At 40.0% G+C, this 22,070-nt stretch overlaps 1 protein-coding gene across 5 annotated transcripts in view, besides 2 other annotated features; it reads right to left on the bottom strand.

Annotated features, from left to right (window-relative positions):
* TTC27 (tetratricopeptide repeat domain 27) overlaps window positions 1-22,070 on the bottom strand; it is a 193,002-nt gene that overhangs the window by 62,976 nt on the left and 107,956 nt on the right. For 3 of the 5 annotated variants that reach the window (NM_017735.5, XM_011532958.3, NM_001193509.2), the window contains exon 12: window positions 21,260-21,382. The exons of the other annotated variants lie outside the window; for them this stretch is intronic. In NM_017735.5, coding sequence (NP_060205.3) covers window positions 21,260-21,382 — 123 coding nt within the window. The remainder of the gene's footprint in view (window positions 1-21,259; window positions 21,383-22,070) is intronic. 5 annotated transcript variants of the gene reach the window in all.
* Window positions 14,266-14,405: an enhancer, noted in NCBI's record as "active region_15561". NCBI's record gives its function as "activates an Ori minimal core promoter by ATAC-STARR-seq in GM12878 lymphoblastoid cells {active_cell/tissue: GM12878}" and the evidence as "EXISTENCE:reporter gene assay evidence [ECO:0000049][PMID:35858748]".
* Window positions 19,714-20,913: an enhancer, noted in NCBI's record as "BRD4-independent group 4 enhancer chr2:32962230-32963429 (GRCh37/hg19 assembly coordinates)". NCBI's record gives its function as "activates an origin of replication core promoter dependent on BRD2, P300/CBP, MED14 and CDK7 cofactors, and independent of BRD4, by STARR-seq in HCT116 cells {active_cell/tissue: HCT116}" and the evidence as "EXISTENCE:reporter gene assay evidence [ECO:0000049][PMID:35650434]".

The raw sequence follows: 22,070 nt of genomic DNA, 5'->3' as shown, positions 1-22,070 counted from the left end.
CTGCAATAAAGTGAATACTGCAATAAAGCAAGTCACAAAGTTTTTGATTTCCAGCACACATAAAAGTTGTTTTTCGCCAGACGTGGTGGCTCACGCCTGGAATCCCAGCACTTTGGGAAGCTGAGGTGGGTGGATTGCCTGAGGTCAGGAGTTCAAGACCAGCCTGGCCAATATGGTGAAACCCTGTCTCTACTAAAAATACAAAAATTAGCCGGGCGTGGTGGCAGGTGCCTGCCTGTAATCCCAACTTCTTGGGTGGGAGGCTGAGGCAGGAGAAATCGCTTGAACCCAGGAGGTGGAGGTTGCAGTGAGCCAAGACTGAGTCATTGCACTCCAGCCTGGACAACAAGAGTGAAACTCTGACTCAAAAAAACAAAAAAAAAAGTTGTTTTTACACTATACTGTAGTCTATTAAGTATGCAATAGCATTTTGTCTAAAAAAAAATGTGCACAGCTTAATTGCTACAAAATGCTAACACAGAGATATGAAGTAAGCACATGTGGTTGGAAAAATGGTGCTGACGGACTTGTTTGACACAGGGTTGTCACAAACCTTCCATCTGTAAAAGGCGCCGTATCTGTGAGGTGCTATAAAGTGAAGTGTAATAAAAAGAGGTATGTCTCTAAGGTGCAAGTAAAAGAAAGGAACAAGGAATAAAAGGGGAACACTGCTTCACTGGCCCTCTGGGGTCCTCAAGGAAAGGCACCGAAGAGAGGTTTACTTAATGATATCAGGTGGCCTCACTACCTGCTCCAGGTGTCGCCACTGTGACCATTTTTTAGAGCAGTACCTTTCATTCACCTCTACCCAAAGGCAATGAAAAGCATGTTTTTCCTTTTTCAAAACGGTATGGTTGGGGAGCCTGGGATCACTGTGGAATTTATAAAGGAGGGGTTTTTAGCAATGTCTATTAAATTGTATCTAAATTTACATACAACTTAATAGGCACTGCTTAAAACCTACCTCTTTATCAAACTACATCCTACTTCACAGATAAAACTTGCTCATACTAGACCTACCTGATTCCAGACAGCCCATTCACTTTAGAAATTAAAAATCATCCTCAATACATTGCACAGACTTCGGCATTATTCTCATATGTCCACAGTTTGGAGCTACCTCATCACTCAGGCTAATTGTGTACTTGTTGCCACCACTCCTCAACTTCCTCCCACCACCATGTCCACCATCCCATTTCTGATAAACTTCAACATAGACCAAGAAGCACAGTAGTAGCTCTACTTTGCATCCTCACACACACGCCTTCACGTAAACAGCAGTGGTGCTGCCAAGGACGCTAGGATAGCCATTGCCAAAATGGATGTACATATCCAGGAAAGCCATCCTTTAGCAGCTAAAATGAGACTTTAAAGCCCCTAACATACATCAGTTGGCAATCCGAAAGTCTGTATATTTGATTTTCTTTAGGTTGGGCATATCTATACTCCTTAAGCAGTCTAATTTTTGTGAACTCTTTTAAAAGAAGACTATACTTCTAAAAGTGTCTTTGGATGTTGGCTCCTCTGCATTCTGATATAGTTCAGGTTGTGTATGCTTTTAGACCTAATCTGAAAGTGAAACTGGAATTTATAAAACAGTTTCTAAGAAAAAATACTTTTAAGTCCCAGTCAAAATAAACATAAAGTTTTAGAATATAATCCATGTAATTCCTCTCTTCAAACATCAATACAATAGCTATTAAAGTACCTAACTATAACTCTAGTCACCTATAAAGAGATGTATTCAACCACAAACTGTAGCCGCAGCAGAATTTTTGCTGAAATCATCTCACTGCGTGATTGAAGGCATTTCTCTTGACAGCCCGATACTGACGGTATGGTACCCACGTCACCCCAGAAATTCTGGAGGCCAATTCACCTAATAAATTCCTTTCTGCTTTAGCCAGTTACAGCGTACTGTAGTGGTCTGTAATTAAACAATGACCATTATAGTAATTGGGTATAGAAATGATTTCAGGCAATGTACTCCTGGGGCAAATGGAAATGTGTGATTGGTATCTGATCTGGTTGGGTTTGAAGACAGAAAGGCTGCAGTGATCATAAGAGGGTTAAACACTGGTAGTCCATGATATCCCATGATGAAAGAATTACTTAAGTTATCATGTGTAGTAACAGAACTAAGACAGTTACCTAATGCACGGCTTTGCATATTGAGTGATAGATTATGAGGGAATACAACAACTGTGAGGTAAGTTGGCTGTTTCCAAGTTCACTAGACAGCTCAAAGAAAGCAAACAACACTCAGTGTTTTAAATCCCCCAGGTCAGAGAACCAGGGAATTTCTATGATTATCTAAAAGAATTTATTTTTCCCTGTAGCTACCAACCAGGTAAAAGCCAAAATCAAAGGTAGGTAGATACTGCTCCTATAGGATAGCTGAATTAGAATGTAGAATGGCTCCGGCTCCCTCTCCCTCTCCCTCTCCGTCTCCCCACGGTCTCCCTCTCCCTCTCTTTCCACCGTCTCCCTCTCCCTCTCTTTCCAAGGTCTCCCTCTGATGCCGAGCCGAAGCTGGACTGTACTGCTGCCATCTCGGCTCACTGCAACCTCCCTGCCTGATTCTCCTGCCTCAGCCTGCCGAGTGTCTGCGATTGCAGGCACGCGCTGCCACGCCTGTCTGGTTTTCGTATTTTTTTGGTGGAGACGGGGTTTCGCTGTGTTGGCCGGGCTGGTCTCCAGCTCCTAACCGCGAGTGATCCGCCAGCCTTGGCCTCCCGAGGTGCCGGGATTGCAGAAGGAGTCTCATTCACTCAGTGCTCAATGGTGCCCAGGCTGGAGTGCAGTGGCGTGATCTTGGCTCGCTACAACCTCCACCTCCCAGCCGCCTGCCTTGGCCTCCCAAAGTGCCGAGATTGCAGCCTCTGCCCGGCCGCCACCCCGTCTGGGAAGTGAGGAGCGTCTCTGCCTGGCTGCCCAGTCTGGAAAGTGAGGAGCATCTCTGCCCGCCCGCCATCCCATCTAGGAAGTGAGGAGCGTCTCTGCCCGGCCGCCCCGTCTGAGAAGTGTGGAGACCCTCCACCCGGCAGCCGCCCCATCTGAGAAGTGAGGAGCCCCTCTGCCCGGCAGCCGCCCCGTCTGAGAAGTGAGGAGCCCCTCCACCCAGCAGCCGCCCCGTCTGGGAAGTGAGGAGCATCCCCGCCCGGCAGCCACCCCGTCCGGGAGGGAGGTGGGGGGGGTCAGCCCCCCCGCCTGGCCAGCCGCCCCGTCCGGGAGGGAGGTGGGGGGGGTCAGCCCCCCCGCCCAGCCAGCCGCCCCGTCCGGGAGGGAGGTGGGGGAGGTCAGCCCCCGCCCGGCCAGCCACCCCGTCCGGGAGGTGAGAGACGCCTCTGCCCGGCCGCCCCTACTGGGAAGTGAGGAGCCCCTCTGCCCGGCCACGACCCCGTCTGGGAGGTGTACCCAACAGCTCATTGAGAATGGGCCATGATGACAATGGCGGTTTTGTGGAATAGAAAAGGGGGAAAGGTGGGGAAAAGATTGAGAAATCGGATGGTTGCTGTGTCTGTGTGGAAAGAAGTAGACATGGGAGACTTTTCATTTTGTTCTGTACTAAGAAAAATTCTTCTGCCTTGGGATACTGTTGATCTATGACCTTACCCCCAACCCTGTGCTCTCTGAAACATGTGCTGTGTCCACTCAGGGTTAAATGGATTAAGGGCGGTGCAAGATGTGCTTTGTTAAACAGAAGCTTGAAGGCAGCATGCTCGTTAAGAGTCATCGCCACTCCCTAATCTCAAGTACCCAGGGACACAAACACTGCGGAAGGCCGAAGGGTCCTCTGCCTAAGAAAACCAGAGACCTTTGTTCACTTGTTTATCTGCTGACCTTCCCTCCGCTATTGTCCTATGACCCTGGCAAATCCCCCTCTGCGAGAAACACCCAAGAATGATCAATTAAAAAAAAAAAAAAAGAATGTAGAATGAATTGTTTTATTAGTTCTTTAATTTTTTATTTATTTTTATTTTTTATTTTATTTTTATTTTTGAGATGGAGTCTTGCTTCTGTCGCCCAGGCTGGAGTGCAGTGGCATGATCTGCTCACTGCAACCTCCACCTCCCAGGTTCAAGCGATTCTCCAGCCTCAGCCTCCCGAGTAGCTGGGATTACAGGCATGTACCACCATGCCCAGCTAATTTTTGTGTTTTTTAGTAGAGAGGGAGTTTCACCATGTTGGCCAGGCTGGTCTCGAACTCCTGACCACAAGTGATCTGCCCACCTCGGCCTCTCAGAGTGTCAGAGTGCTGGGATTACAGGTGTGAGCCACTGTGCCCGGCCCAGTTTCACTAGTTCTATGTGAATGTTAGGGCATTTGGGCTCCACACGGTGGCTCAAGCCTGTAATCCCAACACTTTGGGAGACCAGTGTGGGCGGATCACTTGAGGCCAGGAGTTTGAGACAAGCCTGGCCACCATAGTGAAACCCCATGTCTACTAAAGGTATAAAAATATGGGCGCGGTGGCACATGCCTGTAATCCCAGCTACTCAGGAGGCTGAGGCAGGAGAATCACTTGAGCCTGGGAGGCAGAGTGGGAGGCAGAGGTTGCAGTGACCTGTGATCAAGCCACTGCACTCCAGCCTGGGTGACAGAGAGAGACTCTGTCTCCAAAAAAAAAAAAAAAAAAAAAAAAAGGCATTTGATTGGATTAACCGAGTATGCTTTAGTCTCCCATTTATTTTCTCTATTGGCTTTCAGTTATATATCATTTTATATTCTTTAGCGATTGCTCTGGGTGGGCTTGGGACTATGGTAAAAGTGACACTATGCGACTTTCAAAGCTGGAGCATAACAGGCCAGTCAGCCTCTGTGTGGTTCTCTTGCAATCCTCGCTTGGAGTCCTGAGCTGCCAGGTAAGTAGTCCTACTCCCTGTAGTCATCATGCTGTGAAGAAGCCCAAGCTAATTCATGTGGAGAAATCCCACTGACAGGCCCTGAGATTAGATGAAGAGAGTTGCCTAGCCAGTCCCCAAGTGTCCGAGACCCAGCACCATCTGATTGCAACTACGTGAGTAATGCCAGACCACTGCTCAGTCAAACCCTTCCTAAATTCCTGTTCTACAGAAACCATGAGAGGGAAACAAATGATTGCTGTTGTTTTAAGCCACTAAGTTTTGAGTGGGTTTGTTACACAGCAATAGGAACTGCAACCATTGTTTAAAGAAAGAGGGTAAGTCTAGTAACAGTTACTTCATCCTGGCCAGGAGCAGAAGAGGGCACTGATTATGAAAGAGCAGGATCCAAGAATTTAAATGGAGACATTTGGGAGGATTTAAATAACAGAAGTTCTCCAAATCTACTAAGTTTCCTGTACCAGCAGAGTATATCTGATAAGACTAGCGCTACTTTGCTTAAAGACACCATAATGACTGTACCCTTCCATCCCTCACTGCCTTCAGACATAAAAATAAACCAACATGCAAAAAGAACGGCTGATTTTGTTAATTTACAGGGGAAAACCTTGGGACCACATGGTAAAAGAGATTCTAACCATGCTAGACCAGAGAGAAAAAGGATCATAATTTAAATCGGGCTGAATTAAGATATTCATCAGAAATTTTTGATTCGCAGTGCTAACTCAAGCAGCTGGGGATGGTTCTAAATTATTTGCTCAACTGCTTGACTAAAATCTGGACTCAAATGTGGCCAAAACTAAACAAAGTTAAAATGCCAGAAATTCCTTTGTGTAATGTACAGGAAGGCATCCAATAACTTAGAACAAAAAGGCTGTTGTTAATTTATCACTTGCAACCTGCTCATCTACCCCTAACTATGTCCCCAACAGGGCCCAGATGATATTCCTTTTACATTTTAAATGGGAGAACCAGCATTTTTGAAAAGTGCTATGGTAGATGTTCCGTGTAAGCTGGGGAAAAGCTTAGAGGTCCTTTTGTTGAAATGGGCTTCCTGATTTTAACGGGGGTGGTTAGAACCCAGGGTGGGAGAGACTTGCTGATAGCACTGAACCTGGAAGCATTATGAGCATAGTTATTTGCAATCAGCATGGCCACAGTGATAATCAGATATTTAGGTCAGACTAGCATGGATCTTAAGTAGTGACTGACTGATCCTGAAACTTCAGTTCCAAACTAGATGGGCAGCTGATGAAGTTCAAACTTGATATGTATAACATTAAAGAAAAAAATTTCTAGGTTTGGAGACCAGATGCCTGACCTGAGTCTCCATGATAAGACATTGTCTCTCACCCAGTTCCTATCTTTGAATCACTTCAAAGACTCACAGCCTTTTAGATAAAAATAAACAAGAAGCCAATACCATTCAGGAAGGACTCTGAAATAACATAACAAGGATATATCATAGCTCTTCCCTAGTATTTTCCAAAGAAGTAAACATAAATATTTGCCACATAATTGTATCCTGGGGAAATAGAAATACCCCATCTTCTTAGGGTTACCTCTTTAATGTTAACCCTTTGGGACTCAAAACATCATCACGATGAGTGGTTGGGTTAATGAAAGTCTGTCCATCCCATGGTAGGCCCAGTAATCTGGGCCTGAATCTATCTAGTGGTGATTTCTCTAGTTTCCTTCTCTTCCCTTCACTGTGAGTGTACAGTGAATTAGATATATTGAGCAACCAGCAGATCCTCTACTAAGTGCTACTACAGTAAAAAGGGCCAAGCAAAAGCCCCTGAAGCGTACATACTCTTCTCATTAAAAGAGTAAACTCAAAGCAACACTGCATATCTAGTAAACCAGAGGTTGGTGTCATTATCAAAAACTTGTGTATATGTGTGTGCATGTGTGTGTGTGTGTGTGTGTGTGTGTGTGTGTGTGTGTGTGTGGTTTAACCTACCCATTTAAACTGAGCAGAACAAAAATGGGTCCTGGAAAATGTCATGGATTATGATAAACTTAACATAGTGGTGGCTCTGATTACAGCTACTGTTCTGGACATGATCTCTTTGCTGGAATAAATCATTACATGGGAAGCAGGGTACTGATACAGCAAATGTGCTATTCTCTACACAATAACCAGACAACACCAGATATAGCAGCCTTTTACCAGCACAGAGAGAAGTATGCTTGTCCTATCTTGCCTCAGAACCACATGGACTTTATGATATAATTTAATCTGCAATGACTTTGATTGTCTCACCATCCCATGGCCTTGATGACATCATGCTAACAAAACACAAACTAAGATTTAAAAAACTTCTGTGCCAATGTCAACTGAAAACCAATTAAAAATTATCATATAGCTGGTATTAATACTTGTTATTAGGGAAATGTTGAATTTACAAAAATCCATTTGATGTATCACCCCTAAGGAATTCATCTATTAAACAAATCAAGGTTTGTTAAATTAAATATTTAACTTTATATGTTGTAAGAATGCTTCAATATCTAAACCCCCGTTTGAAGAAATTTTAAAGTTTCCCCATGTCAGAAACTCTTCTTTATGAAACACAATCTATGGAATAATCTGTACCTGCTAGTACGTTGCTACTTTCCAAATAAGTAAATTCCCAAGTTAAACAACTAAACCCTTGCATAGTCATATGTACTGGATTATGCTATGTCAACTTGCTTAAACTGGAAACTGTTTCCTAAAATCCCTTTTCCTTCTGATTTCATGTTAGAGTTCATCATAGGAGAACCTATCAAGGATTTCAAAGGCAGAAGTGAAGCAACAGCCTTTACTCTTGGAAAGTTGTCATGGTCTAATATGGTAACAAACAAGATGTGGAGATGCTCTGCAGATCCCAGAACCCATGCTCTGTGTGTATACCTTGTCCTTCCAACTGCTGGCTCTGCTGACCTATAGCATCCCCAGGCCCCTGAGACATTTGCTGTGTGGACTCACAGGGTTAATAGCTATATAGATATAATGGTTGTCCACAGATCCCTCCACAAGCCCCTGCTTCATGGTCCCATTTCAATGTCTGAAAGTATTTGGCTTCTTGGATTTACCTTAAGTTCTGACTTACCCACTTGTGCCAATGTTTCAAGTGGACTAGTCAATGATTCTTGCCTTGATCTTCTGATTCCCTCTTCCATACCTTCATTTCCCCAGCTCTTCTCACATTTGTGTTAAGATTCAACTCCTTTAGTAAACCACTTATTCTCTAAAATACTCAAAGTGGCTCTGCTTCCATAAAACAGGCCTAAGTGATAAAATCTTTTTTTTTTCCCATTTCTACCTTTTGAACTTATGTATCCTTCCATTTGGTAGTAACATATAGGTTAGCTTTTATCCAGTTGATTCTTAAATGCATGATCTCATGTAATCCCTACAATAATTCCAAGTAGTATATATTAACATGCCCATTTTTGAGAGAAAGAAATAAAAGCTTAGATTTCTTAGTCAATTGGCCACCCAAAACCCAAGAAACACTAAGTTAAAAAGCAGGAACTTGATTCTAGCTTCAACACTATTCCACAGGCAGACAGTAGCAAATGTAATGGTATAAGAACATCTGAAAATTCCCTCCACTACAAAATAACCAGAAAACTGGCCAAAAGTGTCAGAACCAACTTTTTCAGAACTCTGAAAATTAACCAAAGACTTGCAATAATACAGGAAGCATTTATTCAAGAGAAATGCTAAATCTTGGTAAGAAGAGCAAGCTTCATGGCATTTTAACTTGTACCATTCCAATCCCCTCTTCTCCAGTTCTGTAGTAGTCTTGAATACCAAGAGCCTGCAATCTTCGTGAAAACTAGTGGCCTGGCAGCCACTGGAGGGGGCAGAATGGGTTTGAAACACCTTTAAAGCTGCATTTCTGGAAAACTGTCATCATATGCCCAGTCTAGTGATTCCCTGGAAAAGCTCACTTGCAAGACTATCTTTATTTGACCTAATTCTAAGCTTGTTCAGTGAAAAGTCTTTCAAAAAACAACTAGAAATGACTGATTAATTTTGCAGCTGCCTGAGGTGGTAAATAACAGTTGGGGCAAACAAATGCAAAGAAACAAGAAAGTATGTTTATACAGGGAAAAGGCAATCAACAGAAACTATCCCTGAGGATGCCCAGATATTAGACTTACTAAACAAAGACTTAAAATCAACTATCTTAAGTAATCCCTGGTACAGGCATTAAGAATATAACTCAGGCCAGGCATGGTGGCTCACGCCTGTAATCCCAGCACTTTGGGAAGCTGAGGCGGGCAGATCTCCTGAGGTCAGGAGTTCGAGACCAGTCTGGCCAACATGGTGAAACCCCGTCTCTACTAAAAATACAAAAATTAGCCGGGCATGGTGGCGTAAACCTGTAATCCCAGCTACCCAGGATGCTGAGGCAGGAGAATCACTGAAACCTGGGAGGCAGAGGCTGCAGTGAGCCGAGATCACGCCACTGCACTCCAGCCTGGGCAACACGGCAAGACTCCATCTCAAAAAAAAAAAAAAAAGAATTGTTAGAACAAAGGCACATTTTTATGATAAAATGTTTACTCCATCAAGAAAGATATAACAATCACAAATATATGTGCAGCTAAAATAACTCCAAATTGCATGAAGCAAAAACTGAAAGAACTAAAGAGAAAAATAAACAACTGAACAATAATATTTGGAGATGTCAATACCTAACTTTTAAAAATGGACAGAATAACTACACAAAAGATGTAAGTAGACATGAATAATGCTATAAACCAACTAGACCTAACAGACATTTAAAGAACACTCCAGCCAACAGCAGAATACACATTCTTCTCAAGTGCACATAAACATTCTCCAGGATATACTATACGACAGGCCACAAAACAAGTCTCAACAAATGTGAAAGACTGAAGTCATAGAAAGTATGTTCTCCAACCACAATTGGGATAAAATTCAAAATCAATAACAAAAGGAATTTTGTGGAAATTAAACAATATACTCTTAAATAATCAATGAAATGAAGAAATTACAACAAAATTAAAAACACTTTGAGATTAACAAAACCAAAACCAAAATATGCTGAAACTTACGGGATGTAGCAAAAGCCTGATTCAATGGAAATTTATACCTATAAATGCCTATATTGAAAAAAAAGTTCTCAAATCAATAATCTAACCTTCCACCAAAAGTAACTAGAAAAAGAACAGCAAACTATACCCAAAGCAAGGAGAAGAAAGGAAATAAAAATTAGGGTATAAATTTAAAAAACAGAGGATCAAAAAATAATAGAGAAAATCAAAAAACCAAAAGTTAAATCTTTAAAATCAAATTACTAAAATTAGAAAGAAAAGGAGACATTACTACCAATCTTACAGAAATAAAAAGGATTACAGGGAAATACTATACTCCCCAGGTATCCTACGCTGAAAACAGGATCCAAGGCTCAGACATCAAATCATATTCTCAAAGAATCTGCTTGGTTAAAAACACCATTCTACAAATATTTATTCTACTTCAAACTATACTATAGTATAGATTGTGATGATTTACCAGAGTTTAATACCTAGTATTCTGCAACCATTGCAAAGAAGACAAAATAAATATAAACAGTTCCCAACTTAACGATGGTCTGACATACAATTTTTTAAATTTACAATGGTACCATAGCAATACACATTTGGTAGAAACTGTACATCAAGTACCCATATAATCATTCTGCTTTTCACTTTAAACTGTATAAGATACAGAACACTTTATTACAAAATAGGTTTTGTGTTACATTATTTTGCTCAACTTTAAGCTAATGTATTTTGAGCACATTTAAGGTAGAATAGGCTAAACTATGATGTTCAGTAAGTTAGGGGTATTAAATGCATTTTAGATTTACAATTATTTTCAACTTACGATGGGTTTGTTGGGAGGTAACCCCATTGTAAGTCAAGAAGCATCTGTATACAAATGAAAAATGAAATCATAATCAGGAAAATCTTCACATTTGGAAATGCTAGGGTACTCAGGATTTCATATATTTCCTCCACCAACTCCCACCCACCGCAACTCTTTTAAGAATGAGGAACATAATAGATGGTGTGTAACTTGTTGCTACCCAACATCAGTTCTGGATATTCTATTAACTGCAAGATGGGTCTGAAGGGCCAGAGTGTGTAACTTTCCAGAGAAGGTGAGAAACACTAGAGCAGTCACCCTGCTTGGTCTGAACTGACCTCTTCTTTCCTCAAATTCTATCCCACATTTTTGTGTTAGATAAGTTAATTCTTTCTCCCTGAGATCTTATACCTCTTCTTTCTGCCAACAAAATTATCTTTCCCAAGGGCAATGCTGGCAGTATTTCCTTTCTTCAGCTAGTCATATTGCATTCCTCAGTCTTCTTCACTCTTTCCAAAATGTTCTGTTTTCTCTGTCTTCCTCCACTTATCCACTCAATTTACATAATTTATTACCAAATAATGAGCTACAAAAGATGTGCCCAGTGAACATAAATAAAGTACCAGGGCCTACATAACATCACTTCTGCAATATCAAAATGTGAATGGCCATAAATCTTCACAGAATGCAAAAGCTTTAGAATTTCTGGCTATTGGTTACTATTTCCCCATGGGAATATACAGATGTGCATTCTTTTTTTTTTTTTTTTTTTGAGATGGAGTTTCACTCTTATTGCCAAGGCTGGAGTGCAATGGTACAATCTCAGCTCACTGCAACCTCTGCCTCCCAGGTTCAAGCAATTCTCCTGCCTCAGCCTCACAGGTAGCTGGGATTACAGGCATGTGCTGCCACGCCCGGCTAATTTTTTGTATTTTTAGTAGAGTTGGGGTTTCACCATGTTGGCCAGGCTGGTTTCAAACTCCTGACCTCAGGTAATCCACCCGTCTCGGCCTCTCAAAGTGTTGGGATTACCGGCGTGAGCCACTGTGCCTGGCCAGATGTGCATTCTTATAGGATGCAAGAAACTTTATATCTAAATGTCTATTAAAAATAATAAAAATACATTCCCCAAACAAAAAAAACATATTTAAATGGGCAACTGGTTGCAATGAACCTGCAGCGCTTGCAAGAATCTTTTCAGATGCAAACCCCAAAGATCATTACCCCCGCTCCACATACATACAAATCTAAGCTGTTTCAACAATCTATAGTAATTCCACACAACTAATTATTAATTTTAATACTTTTTTTTGGCAATGACTATCTCAGCACAAAACTAAGTTGGCCAAGACTCAAGCAGAACTTGTAATTATAACCGGAGTAACATGCTGTTTACTTGACCAGGGAAACCTGCACTATTTAGAGCAAAGGTCATACCCTAAATTGCCCAGAGATGCTTGCCAATTTTTGAGATGAATATAGTGGGCTGGTAGATGAGCATCCAAAGGAAAGAGCCACTGCTTAGCTCCAGCCAGTTAGGACACCAACATGAGACTCTGGCTGCTCAGTGTTTCCACATCTTTAAACTCTTTAAGAGAGGCCAAGAAGTCTAGATTTTTTAAGATGAAGTATCCTTAAAATATTTATTTATTATTATTTTTTTTTCAAAATACTGAGTTAGGCAAAAAAAAACTGTCTCTCTGGCCTATATTCACCCATAAGCTGCCAGTTTGCAACTTCAGATTTAGGTCATTAAACTCCCACCCCACAGTGGACATCACAGTTGCTTTTTTCCTGCTCAGCATCCCTTCCCTGATCTTCTGAAAATTAAACTCCTCTTCCCTGAGGAAAACCCACTTCATGTGTGGTCCAGGTAGTTCCTATCAGATGAGATGGCAGAAGGCACATGACTCAAGCCCTTCAGTCTTCCACTGAATCGTTCTTTAGAGATGTGGAATTGACTGTATTTTTCCACTGAGATTACTAAACTTGGGCTTCCTGTGGCCATCATGTCTGCCTCAGGGAGAGAGCTAAAAAGTCCTGATGATATCATCTGAGCCCCTGGAAGAGCTCTCATGCGAAGTCTACTAGAATTTTCAGTAGCAAGAACCAATAAAATATCCTTTTTTGCCTAAGCTAGTATGTGTTAATTATTTTACAACCAAAATAGTTTTAACATATTACTAAAAAATTGTGTTGCATAATCTAGTCTATAGACTTCCAACTACAAGAAGATCTGTGAGGATATATGTGCTTTTTTTTTTTTTTTTTTTTTTTTTTTGAGACAGAGTTCACTCTGTTGCCCAGGCTGGCAGGCTGGAGTGCAGTGGCGTGATCTTGGCCCACTGCAAACTCCACCTCCCGGGCTCAAAGGATTCTCCTGCCTCAGCCTCCTGAGTAGCTGGGATTACAGGTGCCCATCACCATGCCCAGCTAAGTTTTGTATTTTTAGTAGAGATGGGGTTTCACCAGGCTGGCGGGCTGGTCTCAAACTCCTGACGTTGTGATCCGCCTGTCTAGGTCTCCCAAAGTGCTGGGATTACAGGCGGGAGCCACCACGCCCGGCCATGGATGTATGTGCTTTTAATCAGATATTTCAAATGTCAAATCTACTTACTAAATGAATGACCATGAACAAGCTAAACTAACATTTTGAGAGTTTCTTCTTCATTTTTGGCTTACCTACCTCAGAGAGGTTGAAAGAAGCAGTAAGCCCTAAACTGTTTATCTTCTTCCTCAACTCCTTCCATTAGAAAACCAGACTGGAAAGCAAGACACTTGAGGTTGCCCTACCTCTAGGAAGAGGGGACTTGAAAGAGCTTCTAGGAACATTAATATTTTCCATAAATAATCACACTGGTCAACTGTGTAGTTTCTCCAAAAACAGAAAAATTGCTGTTGTCAACATTAAATAGATGATTACAGAACTTAGCCAAGAAGAATCAAGAAAGTGAGGTCAAAGAGAAAAAAATTACTAATAGTAGAAGATCAAAACTAAATTTTTCCACATAAGGCTAATTTCCACCAAACATTGGATTTTTTATTAAAAGTGTGGAAAATCACAGGAGTCCTAAAAATCTCAGAAAGGAATCTATGCAAGATACAAACCAAGGAGATCACTGCTTTAGAGCAGGACAGCAGAGAAAGAATTATGTAGCTGTAAATATGAGAGCCACATAGAATTTGGAATCTGTACATACTTTTATCTTAGCACTGTCATACTAAAATATTTGCTCATGTGTATCTATCATATCGGACTATAACTGTGTTTGTAGTAAGTTTGTCTATTAGTCATCTTTGGAATATTCTTACCCAGCAAACAGTAGGTAGTCTATAAACATTGGATGAACTCAACTGGAACTAATACTAAAGTCACAAAGGGCTAATGGTATTTTCTAAGGTCCTTCAGATACTAAACAGAAACATAAAAGATCCTTCACATTTGGGAACGACAGGAGAACTCCTTTAGGTGACACACTCTAGCTGAAATCAATACTGAGTATCACTACATGACTAAATTAGGAGAGATCTAACAAAAATTTACCCTAGTGAATAGAGAGGTCATATAGCAGAATCTGAATTTCACATGCCCTTCTAACCAAATGATGAGAACTAGGAAGCAACTCTTCTTAGGACTATAAACACAGAGAAGCAAAACTGATGGCCTGAAGGGGGATTTTGGGTATTTGAGGGGTTCCCCATCCTGATGGTGTATTTTGCGATAGAACAGTCCAGTGTTGAGAACTGAGAATTTCAGGTATGTGCAAGAAAAGGAACTAATATATTGAAAACCTGCTATATTGGGGCTCATTTATATTTATGATGATATGGTTTTTCTGCAAGTTGTTATATGGGAAATTTGAGATTTGTGGGAGAGAAGATCCTACCCTAAGCACCACTAGGATTCCAGGAAGCACTCTGTCAGGGATGAAGCCTTGGGTTTGGGGTAAAGAATATGGGTGAAAAATTAAGTTGAGCCTCCAGTGAAAAGGTAGACAAAATATTTCAGGAAAGTTATTCATACTTGAGTGAGAAGGAATGAAACTACCCTTTTTGGCTGTGATCTGTGCCTTAACTTTGTGAATTAGCGGAAATTTTGTGAATTAATGGAAAGAATTAAAATTCTAATGTGTGATAAGAGTGGTTCTTATCTGACCTTGCAACTGGTCAGTATATTAGGAAGGGAAATTGGCAGACCAACAACTATAGGAAGCCCTCCACGTAAAAAATGAAGGGGAAAAAAATAAGCTCTAGACCCAGAGATGGCACCAACTATGAAGAGTATCTTTGAGGACCACATGAAGAGCAAAATTAGACTTAATAAATACAGGTTTGCTCCAAGAGAATGGAGAAAAAGCAGGCTAAGAATTTAAGGTTCCCCAATTAGCCAGATTTGGCATCTTGACAATAGCTTTAGGATTAAAAAAAATTTTTAAAAAGTGTGTGCGCACACACACACAAGGGACTCACAAAACATTGGCCATAGTCTAATTCTAGCCTTCTACCTTGAAGCAGAGAGCAAAAAATGGATTCTGATTCTATTGTAGAGGCTGTTTCTCAATGACAGGGAGACTGACCACTGAAAGGTGCTCTACGTCCTCAATACAGTACATAAAGATGACAGGGGCACAGCTGACAGAACTCCAAAGCACGTTTCCCTCTCACCAAGAACAACCCTTTTAGCAGAATGGCAATTTACTCCTAGTCTAAATTCTTATTCTATGAGCAGCAGCTGAGAGGTGACAAGTGCAAAACACTTTGCCCCACCCATCAGACACTCCCAGCTACACTTCTGTGTAGTGGTGTCTACTCCTACTTACTCTCTCATGGAGCCAAATGTTCACTAATTGTTTTTCACAGTTATATGTGTGACAACACCATGCTCTGGCTTGATTTTTTTAAAGGTTACTTGCCAACATAAATACTCCAGGTCCAAGATGAAACAGAGTAATTAAAAACAGGCTTTATTATTCAATTAGTTGATCATCTCTTATTTGCATTACCAATTTATAGAGTATTTTCCATTATTTTGCCTATTTTTCTCAATCAAGTGAGCACAACAGGTTTTAACTTACAAAGCTAATATCCAATTTTTAAGGGATTAACAATAACCATGATGGGAGGCAGTTGTGGGGAAATGGGTGCTGGCTTTAAAGGAAATAAAGGTCTGAGCTCATATTCCAAAACTGCCACTTAGTAATGCTAATCAGTAAAGTGATGAAAACAATCCATATTTTGTGGGTTGTTATGAATAGCATATGACAATTATAAAATAATTATATAAAGAATGCAGTACATATAAGGCCCTCAAAAGATAGCATTACATAATAATATGCTCACAGTTTCCTTAGCATTTACTGAGCAAGAATCAAAATTCTTTAAGGTTTGTTCCTATTTCTACTCCTAAAGTTAGAAGGTTCAAATGGGAGTGGGGGAATCTCATAATTTGTTTTTGGAGAGAGAAGAGTAAGGCAGTGGTTGGAGGGGTATCTTCTGCCACATGCAGTCATCCATAAGGAGTGTCCTACATGGAGATTGCTTCAATGAGATAACTATTGAGTGATCACTTACTAGTTACTCATGCAGCAAATATGATTGACTTCTTGCTACATGCCAAAACTTTGCCAGGTTCTGGGGCAACAGCTGTTTTTTTGTTGTTGTTGTTGTTTTGTTTTTTGTTTTTTTTATTGGATTCTCGCTCTGTCACCCAGGCTGGAGGGCAGTGGTGTGATCTCAGCTCACTGCAACCACCACCTCCCAGGTTCAAGTGATTCTCCTGCCTCAGCCTCCCAAGTAGCTGGGACTACAGGCACATGCCACCACGTCCGGTTAATTTTTTTTTTTTTTTGTATTTTTAGTAGAGATGGGGTTTCACCATATTAGCCAGGATGGCCTCCATCTCTTGACCTCGTGATCTGCCCGCCTCAGCCTACCAATGTGCTGGGATTACAGGCGTGAGCCACCACACCTGGCCAACAGCTGTTGACACAGGTCTGGTTCTTAAGCAGCTTACATTTAGTAGATCAGATGAGCCAACAAATGGGGTACCAGAGTAGTTTGGGTGCCATAGGAGTACACAGGTGGATGGTACCACCAAATGTGGGAGGAAAGTATCTGGGAAGGCTCTCTGTAGAAAGCAATCTCCTAAAGAATAAGTAGCAGTTAGCTGAAAGAAGACAAACGTTCTAGACAGACAACAATTACAAAGGTCTGAAGTGAGACGGCGCTACAAAATCAAGAACTTACAAGTACTTTAATTCAAGCTATTAAAGTACTGCTGGAACTTCAGGTGCAACCTGGATGACAGAGTAGGTATGAAGGGGAGTAAAAGAAGGAGAAAATGCAGTTGGCAATGGAAACAGGAGACAGATCATAAAGTGAGGCTGGGTGCGGTGGCTCATGCCTGTAATCCCAGCACTTTGGGAGGCTGAGGCAGGCGGATCACCTGAGGTCAGGAATTCAAGACCAGCCTGGCCAATATGGTGAACCCTCATCTCTACTAAAAATACAAAAATCAGCCAGGCAAGGTGCTGCACGCCTGTAATCCCAGCTACTCGGGAGGCTGAGGCAAGAGAATCGCTTGAACCCAGGAGGTGGAGGTTGCAGTGAGCTAAGATCGTGCCACTGCACTCCAGCCTGGGCGACAAGAGCGAAACTCCATCTCTAAATAAGTAAGTAAGTAAATAAATAAATAAATAAAGTTGTCTGTAAGCCACTCATTCGAAACAGCTCAGACTTAACCCTGGAAACAGAGAGAAGTTACTTGGGGTGAGAATGGCAGATTTGTCTTTAGGAAGACTATTCTGGCTATAGTTTGAGGAAAGAACTTCTGGGAAAATCTTTTAAACTGTATAAAGAATCTCTATGATAGAAAAAAAAAAAGCCCCCAAAACAGGAAATCCAAACCAATTGCTAAAAAAGTCTTAGCTGTTTTAGAAATACAACATTAACTTACAATTTAAAGGAAAACTTTTTAAGAGTCCATGATTACAATGATCTGCAAATGTAGCATAATAAAAGATAGGACCATGTAATCTCAGGGAAGCCTTGCTTCCTTGAAACAAGAGAAAACAAGAGAGGTCCCAACCCTTATCTATCCCTAACCCCTCACCCTCAGTCTTTGTCTCTCATTTAGGAACCAAATTTGCTCAACAAAATAAGAATACATCTATCAGCTAGGGGAAATTGCTGTAAGTGGGTCGGATAACCTTTAAATACTAAATGCTAACAGATGAGAACCAGTTCTGATACCAAGGTCGAGCAAAATTAATCTTAGCTATTTTGCCTATGGTCATTAAATAACAAGAATGTATGCCGGTAGTTTCTAAGCTAGAATTTCTGAGACCCTACAACACCGGGATGTAAACATGAGCACCAGAACACAATAATTAGAATTAAACATTTCTCCAAATTTGCCTTTTAAAAATAAATTATGCCAATTAAGCATTAAATGCAAGGATTAAAATTTCACAGACTTCTAGTTAAATCAAAATGTGGTGACAGCTACTGGCACATGACCAAATACCAAAAGAGTATCAGCTGTTTTAGAAATAAAACATTTGCTTCTAAATTGCAGCAAAACTTTTTAGGGTCTATGGTTTAAAAAATCTGCAAATATAGCATAAGAAAAACAGGTAAAGGAGGTCTTTTATGGGTTAAATAAAATACTAAAATCAACTTTTAAGATCAAGATTTTGGGGGCTGTTTGGCTAAAACTCACAAAAAACTTAAGACAAAGTAAATGACTATACATTTCTAAAATTTTAAATATGCACATTTTCTAGAGGATTTAGAAACAGAAGCATTTGTCATTATTACACACAATTCTTACAAGGTCATGTGCACATTTAAAAAAATAATAATCATCACAACTACTTAGGGGGACAGTCAAATCCCTTCTCTGAAGGGGATGGATTCATTATGTTTTTTCTCCTGCAATTAAGGAAAGTCTCATCTTTCCATACTTTCTAAAAATAATTAAATTAATATTCTAAAATATGCTTTGAGCATTTGTGATTTACCAACTTGCTTATTTCAAATATTATTATTTCAAAAACTACCATATTTTTATATAAAGTTATTACTTATTTCTTGGCCAGTGTAAAAAGACTAGCACAGTAAAGAATGATGCAATGGGAACTACATCAGACTGGAAGTCAAGATATTCATTCATCCATTCATTCCTTTGTTAAACAAACATCTGAGTACTACTTTAGTGTCAGACAACGGGCACTAAAAAGATATTTAAGTCGCTGAAGAAATACATGACTATATTTCATCAAATTTGAGATGCTATCAGTTGTAAGACAAACTCTGTTAAAGAAAGAAAAAATGCTTTTAATTATAATCTAATGCCTCTTGTTTGCTTTGATTTTTTTCAGTCTATTCAGAAAAATTTGGCAGTTCTTCCTGCCTTCAATACGTTGCTTGACATTTTAAATGACAACCTTTCTTCATACATCTCAGTACAAAACAAAGCTTCATCTACTTTTGGGTATCCTTCTTTCTTGACTCTCATAAAGCACTTGGTTGCTGCTTTTAAAGAAAAGTAAATGGAATTGTGATGATTTATCTGATGGCAAATGTTTATTTCAGTAATACTAAATTTTCATTTCTCTAATTTGGTTCTGTCTTTTTCTCTGTATTCAATAACTTTTTGTTTCAGTGCCAAATCATAATGAAATCCTTTTGAAGATATTTTAAATGGCAATTAAACACAACATACGTAGTGCTGACACCTTGTCCACAACTCAACTGAAATGGTGGCCTAAATGTAGCTATCATTAGCTTTCACATGCACAGGTATGGACAACCTGACAGGACAGCCACCTGAATTAGAGCAAATGGAAGATGCCATCAATTGTTAAATACATTCCAATTTTAGAGATATTAAAATATGAAGAAAAAACATCTCGTAGAATCACAGCAAGTAATGGCAGCAAGCACTCATGTCACATTATGAGGTAAGCACTAGAGTACGTACTTTACATATATTATCTTACAAAAACCTATAAGGCAAATAGATTAAGTGCTTCCAGATGAGGGAACTAAGACAAGGAAGATTAAAGCAACTTGTCCAACATCACAAAGCTAGCATGAAGCAGGCTGGCATTTGACTACCGGCAGCCAGAGACCAGAGGCTATATGCTTTTAGCCACCATGCCATACTACCTCGCAAGTAAAGAGTCAATAACCAGCTTGTGATCTGAAGCAAATCATAAGGGAAACCTTTCCTCATTTACAAAAGGAGGGAGCTAGAATGGATGTTTATGGGGTTCTTTTCCAGGATAAAAATATTATAACTCTATCAATATTTTTTTGAGATAGGGTCTCACTGTGTCGTCTAGGCTGCAGTGCGGTGGCATGATCACAACTCACTGTAGCCTTAACCTCCCAGGCCCAAGTGATCATCCTCCCTCAGTCTCCCAAGTAACTAGAATTACAGGCATGCACCACTACACCCAGCTAATTTTTTATTTTTTAATTTTGTTTTTTTGTAGAGATGGGGTCTTACTTGGTTGCCCAGGCTGGTCTTGAACTCCTGGGCTCAAGCGATCTTCCCACCTCAGCTTCTCGAGGTGTTAGGATTACAAGTGTGAACCACCATGCCCAGTCGATAATCTTCCACAGTAAAACTTTGTTCTTATTCTGGTTTCTCCTTAAGTCAATACAATTCAAAGACCTTCACTGCCATTAACTGATTAGTGAAAGAAATGCAACTTTCACTATTAATCTAAAATAGACATACTTAGGAAGGTATTTAAGAAAAACACATGCTTGAACCACTATTGCTCTTTTTTAGGGTGATGGCAAAAGGTTGACTGTAGGTATAAATGATCCAATTTGTGGGCTTTACTCTGCTTGCTTATGTACTCAACTTAAGTCTTTTAAATTTTTAATCCAAAATTTAACATATGATTTCAATGTGTCAGTTTTTAAAGTGACTAACAATGCAGAGCCCCTTATTCTTCTTAAAATTCTGTTCATGTATGAGGGGAAAAAAACAACAGACAAATAACAGATGCAAATATTGCAACATTTTCCCTCCTGGCCCAATTTAAGGGTAGAATTAAATGTGCATTACACACTTGACAACTCTTCTGCCTCAAGAGGTGTCGTCACACCCTTTGGATTTTCTTTTAAAGACCAACCCAGCTGCTCTCACCCTCTCTCCTAGGGAACCTCCATTGAGGCCCACAGCATCTGATCATCAGGCAACCCAGTGATCATTAAAATGATTCCAAATATTTCGCTTTGAAGTCATCCTAAGGGAGAAGGTGAGTAAAGGAAAGAAATCAAAATCCCACGTCTTCAAAGCTCTTGTTAGTCTTTCTTAAAAATTTTGTAAAAATCTGCCCCAGTGGAAATCAGAGAAAACATTTAAAAGTTTTCTGGAAAAAAAGTGAAAAAAGGAATATAAGTGAATATTGGCAAAAGTGGGTTTGAAAAACAAAACAAGTGAGAAGATGCTCCCAGAGGGAAGGCTCTCACCAGTACATCAAATTGGACTATTACATACCTTTCCGTGCTGCCCGGCTCTTTCATAACAAATGACAACATCTTCCCACATTTCTAGCTTTTCAAATATCTGAAGGGCTGAACTGGTACATCCCAACTCAAAGAGCAAACTTGCAAGTTGGCGCTAGAAAAATCAAGTAAAAATAATTAATACTTCTTGGTGTAAAAAGAGATTCCTGTTTCACTTGCAGGTGTACCTAATCTGCCTTTTTAGGGGTCTGCTTATTGTAATAAATGTATAAATTCTACAATCTGTACTATTTAGAAGTTTGTAATAATTCAATACATACCTTTACTTTAGAAAACAAGCCTCTTTATAGGGTATAAGGAATTAAAGAACAATTTTTTTGTTGAAAATGCTAAATATATACAAATTTTCTCTAAGAACTTAAAAAGCAAAAATAAATATTTCTTTTTTACCTAGACACTCTGTATATAACAATCTCTAACTTATGAGGCTGAGATCCAATAAATTAATTTTTAAAACTCTGAGCAGTCAATAGAGATGACATAAAATCTATGCATTAGCCCTGCTGAATTTTATTCAGAAGGGCATATCTAGCTCTTTCTCACTCAAAGCTACTTAGATTTATTTCAAGCACATTCTAACAAACTTTGCTACCTAATTTCCCAGTCCCTGGCAGATAAAAAAAAGAGCAAACTGAGTTAAGGTCAGTGAAAGTTAAACATATTTAAAAATAAATATATTGTGGTTTATAAGTGTTAACACCTGCACAAAGGGAAAAAAAATTTAAAGATTTAAAAAAGTAGGTAAGGTCAGAATAAAGTGTAGTTTCATATTAGAGAGAGCT

Source organism: Homo sapiens, chromosome 2 (genome assembly GCF_000001405.40).
Source record: "Homo sapiens chromosome 2, GRCh38.p14 Primary Assembly".
Taxonomy (NCBI): domain Eukaryota; kingdom Metazoa; phylum Chordata; class Mammalia; order Primates; family Hominidae; genus Homo; species Homo sapiens.
The sequence above is the reverse complement of the archived record's forward strand: the minus strand, read 5'-3'. Positions and strand labels throughout refer to the sequence as shown.